Here is a 14,598-nt window from a genome sequence, read left to right as displayed (position 1 = left end):
ATTTTTTAATTTTTTTGTAGAAATGGTGTCTCCCTATGTTGCCCAGGCTGGTCTTGAACTCCTGGCTTCAAGCGATCCTCCCACCTTAGCCTCCCAAAGCACTAGGATTATAGGCATGAGCCACCACAACCAGTTCTCTTTAAAAATGTTTTTCATAAATCACATTAGCATAAAAATTTCTTGTCATCTATCACTATCAATAAATATATACTAAAGGCCTGAAAACACCCCCAAACACACACACACAGACAAAATAATTGTGAGGGGAAATTAGCCTATGCTTGAAATGCAAAATTCAATATGATGTAAAATTGGCTAATTCTAACATTTTAAAATTACTCTCTTTAAATTTTTAAAATTTCTTTTTATCTCATTGTGGATATATATACATAATAAAAACTTCCATTTTAACTATCGCTAAGCATACAATTCAATGACATTAATTAGATTCACAATGTTGTGTAACCATCACCACTATTTCCAAAACTTTTCCATCACGCCAAACAGAAACTCTGGTACTCATTTAGCAATAACTCCCCATTCCCCCTATTTGCCTGGAAACCTCTGATCTACTTTCTGTCTCCATGAATTTGCCTATTTGACCTGGGTCATATAAGTGGAATCATACAATATTTGTCCCTTTGTGTCTGGTTTATCTCATTTGGCATAATGTTTTTCAGGATCACCTATGTTGTTGCATGTACCAGAGCTTTGGTTCTGTTTTATGACTGATAATCCTGTTGTATACTCCATTTTGTTTATCCATTTATCTGTTGATGGACATTTGGGTTGATCCACCTTTGGGCTATTATGAATAATTCTGCAAGGAATATTGGCATAAAAGTATCTGTTTGACTCCCTATTTTCAATGCGTTGGGGTATATACACAGTGGCGGTATTATTGGGTCATAGGGCAATTCTGTCCTTTCCAAGAAACCACCAAAATGTTTCTCACAGTGGCTGAACCGTTTTACATTCCCACCAGCAATGTACAGGGGCTCCAATTTCTTCACATCCTTACCAAACACTTGTAGGAAAACAGTCTGTTGCCAGTCAAGAGTAAGGCCATCTTGAAATGAAACTGACATAATGACTAATGTTTGAAGCATGCATACCAAGACATTGCTACGGTAAGTTCAAAAAACAATGCCCGTGCCATAGACAATCCCTCATAGAGATGCTTCTCTAAATTCCTATTGGTCATGAGTTTTGCAAGAGAGTCTGAAACATGGCCAGCTGAACATGTCTTAACAAAAAAGCTTGTGATATAAAGAATTCCTTCTGGAGGGTGAGTGCAGTAATCCGCAGTCTCATGGTTGCCCAAGACATCACTTCTGTTTATAAGTCCCTATTGAATGTTTCTGAGAAACTGGATTTATTAGCTTCTTTCTTTGGCTTCTCAGTTCCCTTGGACTGTAGGGGTAGGTTTGAATATACCTGTTCACTGGGGAATAAGACTTAATACTTTCTGCTTTAAAAAAAAATTACACCTATCCTAGAAGATGTGGAGTGGTATCTCATTGTGGTTTTGGTTAGCATTTCCCAAATGACTAATAACTTGGACCATCTTTTCACATGTTTAGTGGCCATTAGCACATCCTCTTTGGAGAAATGTCTATTCATGTCTCCACTCATTTTTCAGTGGGGTTGTTTTTTGAGTTGTAGGAGTTGTTTAAATGTTCCTGATATTAAACTCTTACATGATTTGCAAATATTTTCTCTATTTCTGTAGGTTACTGTTTCACTTTCATGATAATGTCCTTTGATGCACAAAATTTCAAAATTTTGATGAAGTCCAATTTATCTATTCTTTTCTGTTATTGCTTGTGCTTTTGGTGTCATAATTAAGAATCTATTGCCAAATCTAAGGTTGTGAATATTTTTTCTTTTTTTTTTTAATAGAGATGGGATCTCACTAGGTTGCCCAGGTGGGTCTCCAACTCTCGAGGTCAAGTAAGCCTCCTGCCTCAGCCTTGCAAAGTTCTGGCATTACAGGTGTGAGTCACCATGACAGGCCCTATGGTCATGAGGATTTTTCCTTTATGTTTTATTCTAACAGTTTTACAGTTTTAGTTTTTAAGTCATTGGTCTAGTTTGAATTAATTTTTGTATGTAGTGTGAGAAGGAAGCCAATTTCATTCTTCTGCATGTGGAAATCCAGTCATCCGGTGCCATTTGTTGAAGAGATTATTTTTCCTTACTTAATATACTTGGCACCCTTGTAAAAATCAACTGGACATACATGTATAGGTTTATTTTTGGACTCTAAATTCTATTCCATTGATCTAAATGTTTATAGTTATGCAAATACCACATTGTTTTGATGACTGTAGCTTTGTAGTAAGTTTTGAAAGCAGAAACTGCCTCCGACTTTATTCTTCTTTTTCAAGATTGCTTTGGCTATTCACAGCCCTCTGGACTTCCAAATAAATTTGAGGCCAATATAGTCTGAATTGATACAAAGTTAACTTCAATATCATGCAAAAACTCTGCTCTTATATAGTTCTGTTTCCTGCTTCCCTTTATGTTATTGTCCCAAGTTACATCATTATATATTGTGTGTCTGATAACATAAATTTATAGTTTTTTTTTTTCTTGAGATGGAGTCTCGCACTCTCGCCCAGGCTGGAGTGCAGTGGTGCCACCTCGGCTCACTGCAAGCTCCGCCTCCCGGGTTCATGCCATTCTCCTGCCTCAGCCTCCCGAGTAGCTGGGACTACAGGCGCCAGTCACCACGCTAATTTTTTGTATTTTTAGTAGAGACGGGGTTTCACCATGTTAGCCAGGATGGTCTCAATCTCCTGACCTTGTGATCCACCCACCTCGGCCTTCCAAAGTGCTGGGATTACAGGCATGAGCCACCACGCCCAGCCATTTATAGTTATTTTTATGTATTTTCTTTTACACTGACACTAGCTTCTATAAGTGCCCATGTAGTCTTTTCTTACTGAAAATCTTTCTTACTCTCTATATACCATCAAGTTACTGTCTAGTGTCCTTTCATTTTGACCTGAAGGATTCCCTTTAGAATTTCATGTAGGACAGTAACAAATTCCGACTGCTTTTGTTTATCTCATTTACCATTCTGAAAATCCTAGAGCCCTTAAGAATTATGCTAAACCTATTTTGCTGTGCTCTATAAATGGAACAACAAAGCCTGGGTGACAGCACATCTGTTTATAACATGGTTTACTGAATATTTTAAGCCCACTGTTGAGACCTACTACTCAGTAAGAAAATATTTCTTTCTAAATAGTACTGCATATTGGCAATGCACCTAGTCACCCAAGAGCTCTGGTGGAAATAAATGCTGTTTTCACACCTGCTAACACAATATCCATTCTGTAGCCCATGGTAAAGGAGTAATTTTGACTTTCAAGTCTTATTTCAAAAATATATTTTGTAAGTTTACAGCTGCCATAGCTAGTGATTACTCTGATGGATCTGGGCAATGTAAATGGAAAAAACTCTAGAAAGGATTCACCATTTTAGGTGCCACTAAGGACATCTGTGATTCATAGGAGGGAGTCAAAATATCAACATTAATAGGACTTTAAAATAAGTTGATCCCAATGCTCATAAATGATTTTGAGGAACTCAGAACTTCCATGAAGGAAGTAAATCTAAATGTGGTGGAAATAGCAAGGAAACTAGAAGTGGAGCCTGAAGATTTTAGTCCTTTCTCTTCCTTGTGTCTTTGCTCTACCAGTAGTAGGCTTTATATTTTCATATGTTTTCATGATGGTAGATATTGCTCTTTTGCTTCCAGGTGTAGGACTCCCATACGAATTTCTTGTTTAGCCAGCCAGTCTACTGGTGATGAATTCCCTAAGTTTTTATTTGCCTGGGAAAGACTTTCTTTCTTCTTCATTTATGACTTCATTTAACTTTTCTGGATATAGCATCCTTGTTTGCTGGAGAGTTACTGTGTTCCTTTGGAGGTGTCATTTTTTCCTTAGTTTTTTTTTTCATATTTCTTGTGTTCTCAACATTGATATATACACATCTGGTGAAAAAGTCACTTCTTCCATTTTTTTGAATTTGCTTTAGTAGAGGAGGACTTTTTCCTAAAGATGTATCTATGGTGACTGCAACTATGTGTCTATGGCTGACTGCAAGCTTTACTTCCCGGGCTTAAGCAATCCTCCTACCTCAGCCTCCCAAGTAGCTGGGACCACAGGCATACACCACCTGGCTAAGTTTTGTATTTTTTGTAGAGACTGGGTTTCACCATGTTTCCCAGGCTGGTCTCAAACACCAGAGCTCCAGTAATCTCCCTGCCTTGGCCTCCCGAAGTGCTAGGATTACAGGCATGAGCCACTGCACCTGGCCAGGTAGGGCACTTTTTAATTTAATTTAATTTTTAAATTTTTTTTTTGAGACAGAATCTCACTCTGTTACCCAGGGTAGAGTGCACTGGTGGGATCTGGGCTCACTGCAACCTCTGCCACCCGGGTTCAAGCGATTTCCCTGCCTCAGCCCCCTGAGTAGCTGGGATTACAGGTGCCCACCACCACACTTGGCTAATTTTTGTATTATTAGTAGAGATGGAGTTTCACCATGTTGGCCAGGCTGGTCTTGAACTCCTGACCTCAGGTGATCCGCCCACCTCCCAGAGTGCTGGGATTACAGGCATGAGCCACTGCGCCTGGCCCGGGGTAGGGCACTTTAGTTTTTATTTTGGGTCCATGCAGCAGTGTAGTCTCCATATAATTTCTTCAGCTGTAAGCAGTTTCAGTGGTACCTGTGATTTCCTCAGTGGCTTAGAGCACCATCGTTGGTGTAGACTGTAGTAGTTTTGCTGGAGATAGGGATTCCAGGTGGGCCAGCCCTTGTGCCCCAGGGCCCAAGGGAGTGGGAGTGGTGGGCCAAGCATGCTTGTCAACGGGGCTCCTGGGATGCAGATATGCAGGAGCTATTGAGCACCAATGCAGGGTGAAGTGTGGTAGGGTCTGGGCTCTCAAAATGGCACTGTGCTGCAGCTACTTAGGACTCAGGGTGTGTGTAAGACCCAGTGTATGCCCCATCTCTGTAGCAATGCCATCATGTGGTCTCCAGGCAGCTACTATGTTGGTCTTAGGGCCTGTGAGGGTTGAGGAAATTTCCCATGCTAGGATTGCAAGAAACCATGGTGGAAATGTGGACTGCTAGGGAATCTCTCACATACCCTTTCCTCACATTGGGGTGTTTCTCTGGGTTCTCAGTCAATCTCCAGTGGCTGAGCAGGCTACCTCACCTCCCTCTGCTTCCTTGCCTTAGGTGTTTTCTATCACTTCTCTGTTGAATTATATGTCCTCTCTTAGATGATCTACTCAAAGTGTGATTATATACTTGCCATTTTTGGTTCCTCTTTGTGAATGAGGTGAGTACCAAATGCCTTTAGTCAGTCATCTTGAAGCCCGCCCTCTAAACATAGGTTTTATATTCACTAGGAAACCAAAAATATTGTGTGACTTCCTTATGATGATTGATTGCTTTGTTGTGGTGGTGTAGAATGAAGCCTGCAGTATCTCCAAGGAATGCCTGTAATCTGTTCACTTTTTAAAATTTACTTTCTGTTCCTCACACATATAATTCCAATTGTTTTATCTCCAAGTTTGCTGATTTACCTTCTGTCTGCTCAAATATGCTGTTAAACCTCTATACTGAATTTTTCATTTCAGTTATACTTTTCATCTCCAGAATTTCTCTTCAGTTCTTTTTAATAATTTCTATCTGTTTATCGATATCACCATTTTGTCTAATAAGTTCAATGTCTAGGCAGTGAGGACTGATTCAGGAACACTCATGTGAAAAGCTTCTATTTCCCAAACATATTATCACAGCATTCTCCAGCACTTTTTAACTGAAAAACCCTTCAGATCAGTATATGACAAAATTCATTAGAATTTTAAAAAATTGGCCGGGTGCAGTGGCTCACGCCTGTAATCCCAGCACTTTGGGAGGCCGAGGTGGGCAGATCATGAGGTCAGGAGATCAAGACCATCCTTGGCTAACAGGGTGAAACCCCGTCTCTACTAAAAATACAAAAAAATTAGCCAGGCGTGGTGGTGGGCGCCTGTGGTCCCAGCTACTCGGGAGGCTGAGGCAGGAGAATGGCATGAACCCGGAAGGCAGAGCTTGCAGTGAGCCAGATCGCACCACTGCACTCCAGCCTGAGTTACAGAGCGAGACTCCGTCTCAAAAAATAAATAAATAAATAAAATAAAGATTAATTTCGGGAGGACTGCCATCTTAACAATACTGAGTTTTCCCATCCTTGACCAAGGTATATTTCTCCGTTTCTTTTGTGTTATTTATTCTTATTATATGTTCCTTAACTTCTTCCAGCAATGTTTTATAGTTTTCACTGTGCAGGTCTTTCATGTTTCATTAAATTTATCTAAGTATTTCACATTTTTTCTATCATTGTAAATGGGATTATATTTCTAATTTCATTTCCTAATTGGTCACTGTTAGTCCAAGCTGCAACATTTTATAAACCCCCAACCATTTCACAGACCCTGGTCAAGGCGATTCTTCAGGGGCTTGGGCCATGAGAAACATCCTACCTAACCACCTGACAACAGGAACATCTTTATCAAATGCTGCCAGGCAGCAAGCCATACCACCCAGACCCCTTCCACCCAGACCTATAATTACCCCAGCCTGAAAGCAGCAGTGGGCTCCGGCACTAAGCTGGTCCCCTCTCTGCAGGTTTTTGCTGGCAATAAACCTGTGTTTCTGTTGAGCCACTCTCTCTTTAACCCTCACCTTTCCTTCAAAACCTAACTTTTTTTGTATCATTATAAATGGAACTGTATTTCCAATTTCATTTCCTAATTGGTCACTGCTAGCATATAGAAATAAAATTGATTTTTGTAACCTCATATCCTATGACCGTGCTAAATTCCTTTATTAAGGTTCTAGTAGCTTTTCTTTTTAACGGAAAACGAAGAGTCTCACTCTGTCACCCAGGCTAGAGTGCAGTGGTGCGATCCTGGCTCACTGCAATCTCCGCCTCCCGGGTTCAAGAGATTCTCCTGCCTCAGCCTCCCGAGTAGCTGGGATTACAGATGTGCGTCACCACACCCAGCTAATTTTTGTATTTTTAGTAGAGACAGGGTTTCACCATGTTGGCCAGGCTGGTCTTGAACTCCCAACCTCAGGTGATCCACCCGCCTCAGCCTCCCAAAGTGCTGGGATTACAGGCGTAAGCCACCGTGCTGGGCCTCTAGTAGCTTATTAATATGTATGAGCCCTCACACCCCTTTTTTGGAGACAGGGTCTCACCCTGTTGCCCAGGCTGGAGTGCAGTGCTGTGATAATTCACTGCAACCTCAAACTCTGGTCTCAAGTGGTCCTCCTGCCTCAGGGCCTTTTAAGTAGCTAGGACTATAGGTATGCACCACCACACCTAATTTTTAAACTTTCTGTAGAGACAGGGTCTCGCAATGTTGCCCAGGCTGGTCTTGAACTCAGTCAATCCTCCTCCCTCAGCCTCCCAAGTTGTTGGGATTATAAGCATGAGCTAACACACTGGGCCTTGGTATGAGCTTCTGAAGAAAAAAAAAATTCCATCACTGAGGAGATTGTTTTCCTAATTCTACAAGTAAGATATATTATTTCAGGAGGCTTTGGAAAGAACTGAAAAGTGTAAAAATAGAAAAGGAAACACCAATTTTCCCAATATATAGGCTAACTACTGTTAATATTTTGACAAATCTCCTTAGTTTTGGGCAACACTCATTTTTTACATTTATTTTGACATATTTGAGCTTATTCCATATTAACAATTATTTATCATGCTTTTGTAACACATGACAGCATTTTTCCTTTACCAAACTTTTTGTGTACATATTTTAATGCCTGCATAATCTTCCATTACACGGATATGCCACAAATATTATGCTAGTGTACATTTTTTATTTTGCAAATTATGCACTGTCATAAATATTTCAGTGATCATCCTCATACATATTTCTGTCTTCATTACAAGTTAGACCCTTAAGGTGTTAACAATAGTAATATTATTAATGGCACCTACTATGTGCCAGGCACTCTTTTATGTGATTCATACATATCATCTCAATCCACATGACAACGCTTTGAGGTAGATACTAGTAGTAACCTCATTATACAGTTGAGGAAATTGAGCCACAGGTTATTAGCAATGTTAAGAGCCCCAGTTAAGTGACTATTCTACTCCCTTAATGAAAACCATTTCTGATAGGTATGTTGTATGTGGGCATGGTGTGTACACAGTGAGAAGAGCAGCAGGAAACATGAAACCCAGGACCTAGTTCTGAGTCTGACTTCACTGAAAATGTGAGACCGGGGCCAATTCACTTGATCTCAATTGTACAACGACAAGTATGAGCTAGAGGCTGCCATGTTCCTCGTAGTTCTCAAGTCTCCTGATTCTAACCATCATTTCTAGGTTTTTTCCTCAGAGAGAGATCAAGATCTCTGGTTGGCTTCAGCAATACTTCATCTATCATTCAACAATCAATCATTGAGCAGCTAATATTTATGCCAGAAAATGGAGAATCATGGTCAGTCCCTATATACAACAGACTGATTTATAGAATGAAAGAGAAAATTAAAATAGATCCTCTTCCTGAATCTTTTGTGGGTTATTAACTTACCAGAGAATCTGAAGACTGGGATCCTCTCCATAGAATGGAAAACCTTTGTACAAACAGAATAAATGTGTATACAACATTACAAGCTGTTTATTGATCCTCAGAAATGAAACCTATATCCACTATTTGTCAGTGATTTTCCCAGGCTGTTGAGTTCTGATTTAGGCAAAAGGGAAAAACCATGTATGACTGTAAGGGAAGTGAGAACTCAGTAAATTCTTATAAGCACACAAGCAGATTTCAATTAAATAACAGATATTAGGGTGCGGCAATATTATTAATAATCACAGCCAGTAACTACAGAGAACATAATATATGTCAGGCACTATTCTAAGCTGTTTCCATTTACTCATTTAATACTCACCATAATCCTACCAGGTAAGTACTATTATTATCGCTAATTTACAGATGAGGATATCAGTAAGTTTGGCACAGAGAAGCTAAGCAGCATGTTCAAGATCACCCAGCTAGTGGGGTTTCAACCTGGGTAGTCTAGCTCAAGTCTACGCTCTTAAACACTAATCTTTCTTTATAAAGATAAAAGACTACCTTGAGAAAGAGGGTATCTTTGGACTGTGCTCTGTTTATCACATGAGGACACTTGCTCTAAATATTGTTTAAATACTTGTTCCCACTAAAATGGGGACCCTCCCTGATATGTTCAAATGCCCAATGTTCCCCTAGGTCCTAACATCCAGAGAATTACTGTGTTTTTAAATTCTCAGGAGCTTTTGCAGTGCTAATAAGAGTGGAAAAAGTGGAACTCTGTGACCCAAAACAATTTAGAATAGGAAAGCTCATTAACAGGTGGTACTCAAAAGCTTCTTTGATGGTAGAATAGAGAAACTAGATATCCTCTTACAATATTTAAAAGTTTCTTAAAATAATTATTACAGCAACATTAAACAGACTATAAAACTCAGTCAAAATCTCCTTATCTAACAAATCAATTCTGTTCAATTATCTGTATACTTTCAATTCTTGCCCACATGCAAATGTACTTAAAAATGGGTTAGCACTGGTAGTGGAGATGTGTTGTTTTTAATTGTACTACATTATAAGCATTTTTCTTGCTGTTAACCAAAATATGGTTTCTACCAGACACATAAAACATACCAAACACTACTAAATGTCCCAGAAGAGAGACATAGTCAAGAAAACAATGACATATTGACTGAAATATTATTTTCCATCTTTTGTTGCATTAACTGTATCATTTCTTAATTCTCAGCAACAACTCTCCCTATAGTAGCATACTCATTTCTTTTCAAATGAAGGGGTTCTCGCTCAACAACTCACCTATTTAATAATTCCTTCTCAGATTCTAGCATTTAAGACTTGGTCAAGAATGCTCTCAGGCCAATTACTTCTGTAGGAATTCATGAAAAGAAGAAAATCTGATGGATTTGTGTACTGAAATAAAATCTGTGGTTTCTTTCCCTTCCAGGACCAATTCTCTAATGTGCAATAGGATAGTAACAAGACTGAAAGCATTTCCACATAGATTCAATTTGTACAGCTTATCTCCAGGAGTTCTCCAATGCAAAATAAAGTCATTGCTCTTTGTGAAAAATTCCCATATTTATTAGTAAGCATTTTCTCTAATATGATTTGTCTGGTATCCAATAAGGTTAGAGGTATTAACAAGCGCTGTCCCACATTGATTGCATGTTAAGAACTGCTCTCCAGTGTGAGCTATTTGATGAACTATAAATGGAGAGTTCTGGCTGAAGATAATGCCACATTGATTACATTTATAGGTCTCTTCTCCAACATGAATTCTCTGGTGCTTAATGAGGTCATTCTTCCGGATGAAGGCTTTCCCACACTGACAGCATTCATATGGTTTCTCTCCAGTGTGTATCCTCTGATGCACAATAAGGGCAGAACTCTGGCTGAAAGATTTTCCACAATCATGACACTCATATGGTTTCTCTCCAGTGTGGGTTCTTTGATGTGAATAAAGGTGAGAGCTTCGACTAAAACATTTTCCACAATCCTTACACTCAAAAGGTTTTAGTCCAGTGTGAATTCTATGATGCACAACAAGGTGAGATCTCTGGCTGTAAGACTTTCCACATTCATTGCATTCATAGGGCCTCACTCTCACATGGGTTCTCTGATGCAGAATGAGATGTGTGCTCTGTCTGAAAGATTTCCCACATTCAGGACATTCATAGGGTTTCTCTCCAGTATGTGTCCTCTGGTGTCTAATAAGCCTAGAGCTATGAACAAAAGATTTCCCACACTGATTACATGTGTACAGTTTGTCTCCTGTATGAGTTCTCTGATGAGTAACAAGGTGAGAGAACCAGCTGAAGGATTTTCCACATTCTTTACATTCATAGGGTTCCTCACCAGTATGGGTCTTTTGATGTCCAATGAGGTGAGAACTCCGGCTGAAAGACTTTCCACATTCTTTACACTCATAGGGTTTTTCTCCAGTATGAATAAGCTGATGCCTAGTAAGATTAGAGCGCCAGCTGAAGAATTTTCCACATTCCTTACATTCATAGGGTTTCTCTCTATGTATGCCCTTTGATATACCAAGAGATGAACCATGAGTAAGAGAGTTGTCATTATCAGGGCATTTGTAGGATTTATCACCTGTGTGAGTTCTTGCAAACTGAATAAGGTGAATGTTTTGACAGAAAGTTTGACCACATTCATTACTGTTACTTGCACAACTGTCCTGATGACCATTAAGAACTAAATCATGTTTTAAACTTTTAGTATGTGAGTCACGTTTATGGAAATACTCTCTCAGTACTAGCTGAGCAGGAAGAAGACAGTTTCCCCCATATTTACCACTTTCAGAGACTCTCTCCTGAGTAAGTACTTTCTTTTGGGTGAATGCCACTTGCCTCAAATGTCTCTCTGGGTTTTCCTGATACTTGTCTAACTGGTCTCTACATTTCCAGACTTCTTCTAATGACAAATACCAGAGATCATTCCTTGCCATTCCTTCCATTTTAATGTCACAGGATTGCTTATCTTTAAAAATGCTCCTGCTGGAAACTGATGATTTGATTTCAAATGCAGTCTCTGAATCTGAAAGAAATGAAAAATGTTTGTGTAACTAAACAGAGTATTAAGGTGAGAATGCTAGGATGTATGTGGAGACAAAGTATGCAAGATGTACACAGTTGCTTTCAAATATGGCTTTATAACTTTGATAGAGAATGAGAAAAGGAAGAATGGAGCGGTAAACAATAAATGCATTGTGGTATACAGTACTCACAAAGGGCAAAAGGAGTAAGGAGAAGCCACAGGACACAGCATGACACATGGGATCAGGGTATCAATGGTGAGGGTAGAAATAAGGGAAATTCCATAAAAAGGACTGCACTCTCATTTTCTAATCCAGATATTAACAGTCTAAGTTCCTCACCTGTCTACTTGTTGTCAGGACTTTCCCCTGACACACATTCTTCACATTACTATCAATTTAGTATTCTCTCTCTTTTTTTTTTTTTTGAGACAGTTTCGCTCTTGTTGTCCAGGCTGGAGTGCAATGACACAATCTTGGCTCAATGCAACCTCCGCCTCCCAGGTTCAAATGATTCTCCTGCCTCAGCCTCCCAAGTAGCTGGGATTACAGGCACCTGCCACCATGCCTGGTTAATTTTTAATATTTTTAGCAGAGACAGGGTTTCACTATGTTGGCCAGGCTGGTCTTGAACTCCTGACTTCAGGTGATCCACCCGCCTTAGCCTCCCAAAGTGCTGGGATTATAGGCGTGAGCCAGTGCGTCCGGCCCAATTTAGTATTCTTAAACCATGAATGCAGCCATACGTCAGGCAATGCTTTCTATCCAAATCACAGAAGCACTATAGAATAACACCCAGATGAGTGACACAACAGACCTCTCAGAGCAGCTACATGACAAGGTGGAAGAGTAACTGCACAAAAGTTACCAAGATGCAAGTTCTAAGTTTTATATTACGACTAGTGGTGAATTTAGACGAGTTGCTAAACTTTGAAGAATTCATTTTGCTTATCTGTAATCTAAGGATGACAGTATTTGTTATTTAAGATTATTATATTATATAAAGCATGAGCCTATTACAGTCTCTGGCACATTTATGGTCAAAGCAATAAGATTTACAATAATCATCATCATTCTTCTCATTTTTTTGATTTCTTCGCTCTGAAACATAAGGACTTAACAACTGATAGGACTACTACCACAAGATGTGAACTTAGAATCTGAAGCCTGACCCATACGCTCTTAGAATTTCTGCCATCTGCTACCTGTGTATATTACTGCAAATTATTTCTCTTGAATAAGAGCTTTATCTGTTTCTCAATGTCTTTCAGGTAAAACATATAATCCCAAACCTAAAAAATACACTGATGATACCACTTCATCTTACATAAGTGGGGTGACATTCCACTCTTACCTGGTATTATGGGTTAAACTGTATCCCCCCCGCCGACAAAAAGGTATGTTGAAGTTTTAATCCTCAGTATCTCAGAATATGACCATATTTGGAAATACAGTCTTTCCAGATGTAATTAGTTATGATGAGGTAGTACCAGAAATAGGATGGGCCCCTAATCCAGTATGAGGGTGGTCCTCCATAAAAAAGACACAGACACAGGGGAAGAGACCATGTGAACATGGAGACCAAGACTGGAATGATATATCCACAAGCCAAGGAACACCTGGGGCCAGCAGAGCCTGGAAGAGATAAGGAAAGACCCTCTCCTAGAAGCGTAGCAGAGCCCCACTGACATCTTCATTTTAGACTTAACAGCCTCCAGCTGTGACATGATACATTTTGGTTGTTTTGAGCCACCTAACTGCTGGTTCTTTGTTACCGCAGCCCCAGGAAACTAATACACCTGGTAAATGATCCCTGTGCCAGGCCTGGTCCCTAAATGACTTCCTTATACAATCCCACCCCGACCAGTCCTGTCCCTTACCACTTAGTTAGTTCCTAGTTTCTTCCCCATCCTGATGATTTTTAATAGGAAATACACCACCCTTTCCTCCCTTTCCCCAACCCAGAACATCAGAAAATCTTATGGAGAAGTTTTTCAACCTACAAATGCCAACTGGAAGATTCTATGAAGAATATCTATGATAAGGGGGGTGCTGAGCACTTATGGAGGACAATTCTGAGTGGAGAGTTTGGTCATAAGAATGAGGTGTTTTATTAATATCCTAAAATCTTCCACATATTATGTAATACAACCATGCCAGTAAGTTATTGTCGAAGTCTGTTGGACCCATCAATCAACTAATCATCTGATTTTTAAAAATCATCATTCATTATATTTTTTGATTTGATAATGAATTTAACAGCCTTGTAGATTCTGTAAAACTCCATGCCTTTAAGCCCATGAAGTCTGAGTATTTCTTTTGACAATAAATTCTCAATAAAAATATAAACTGCTGGGTCCAGTTAATAATTGTTATTTTTGGATACTTGTCAACAGACATTCAGGAAAGCTTACTAGATGAACAAAATAGAAAAGAAAGAAAGAAGGTAAGTAATAAAAAGAAAATATAACAATATTTCCTCCCATGGTCCCAAAGAAAGACTTGCTTTGAGATACCATTTTGATACAATCACCTACAAGGCAAATACTAAAAAGTAAAAAAGAGCTTATGATAATATTTCAAAGTAGAGATTTAAACTAAGTGGAAGTTCAGAAGAGGAAGAGGCCAATACTTAATGAGGAATCATAAAAGCCTTCATGGGAAAGAACTTGAGGCTAAATTACAGGACAAGTAAGACTCAGATTTAATTTACATCACACTCAAAGTCTGAGATGCAGGGAAATGCCTATAAATAAATTTTTAAAACATTAAATACAAAACTAGATAGAGGCTGGGCATGGTGGCTCACGCCTGTAATCCCAGCACTTTGGAAGGCCGAGGTGGGCGGATCACTTGAGGTCAGGAGTTCGAGACCAGCCTAGCCAACATGGTAAAACCCTATCTCTCCTAAAAATACAAAAATTA

General features: G+C 39.3%; 1 protein-coding gene across 1 annotated transcript in view, besides 2 other annotated features; it reads right to left on the bottom strand.

Annotated features, from left to right (window-relative positions):
• Positions 7,134–7,303: an enhancer, noted in NCBI's record as "experimental_26242 CRE fragment used in MPRA reporter constructs". NCBI's record gives its function as "activates a minimal promoter by MPRAs in K562 erythroleukemia cells, with activity observed for both the introgressed and non-introgressed 12:133736546 variant alleles {active_cell/tissue: K562}" and the evidence as "EXISTENCE:reporter gene assay evidence [ECO:0000049][PMID:34662402]".
• ZNF10 (zinc finger protein 10) overlaps positions 7,713–14,598 on the bottom strand; it is a 28,839-nt gene continuing 21,953 nt past the window's right edge. Inside the window, exon 5 of the mRNA NM_015394.5 lies at positions 7,713–11,675. Within this exon, the coding sequence (NP_056209.2) occupies positions 10,210–11,675 (1,466 nt within the window). The 3' untranslated portion in view covers positions 7,713–10,209. The remainder of the gene's footprint in view (positions 11,676–14,598) is intronic.
• Positions 10,770–11,969: an enhancer, noted in NCBI's record as "P300/CBP strongly-dependent group 1 enhancer chr12:133731795-133732994 (GRCh37/hg19 assembly coordinates)". NCBI's record gives its function as "activates an origin of replication core promoter dependent on BRD2, BRD4, P300/CBP, MED14 and CDK7 cofactors, with strong dependence on P300/CBP, by STARR-seq in HCT116 cells {active_cell/tissue: HCT116}" and the evidence as "EXISTENCE:reporter gene assay evidence [ECO:0000049][PMID:35650434]".

Source organism: Homo sapiens, chromosome 12 (assembly GCF_000001405.40).
Source record: "Homo sapiens chromosome 12, GRCh38.p14 Primary Assembly".
In the NCBI taxonomy this organism is placed as follows: Eukaryota; Metazoa; Chordata; class Mammalia; order Primates; family Hominidae; genus Homo; species Homo sapiens.
This window is presented reverse-complemented; position numbering and strand designations above follow the sequence as displayed.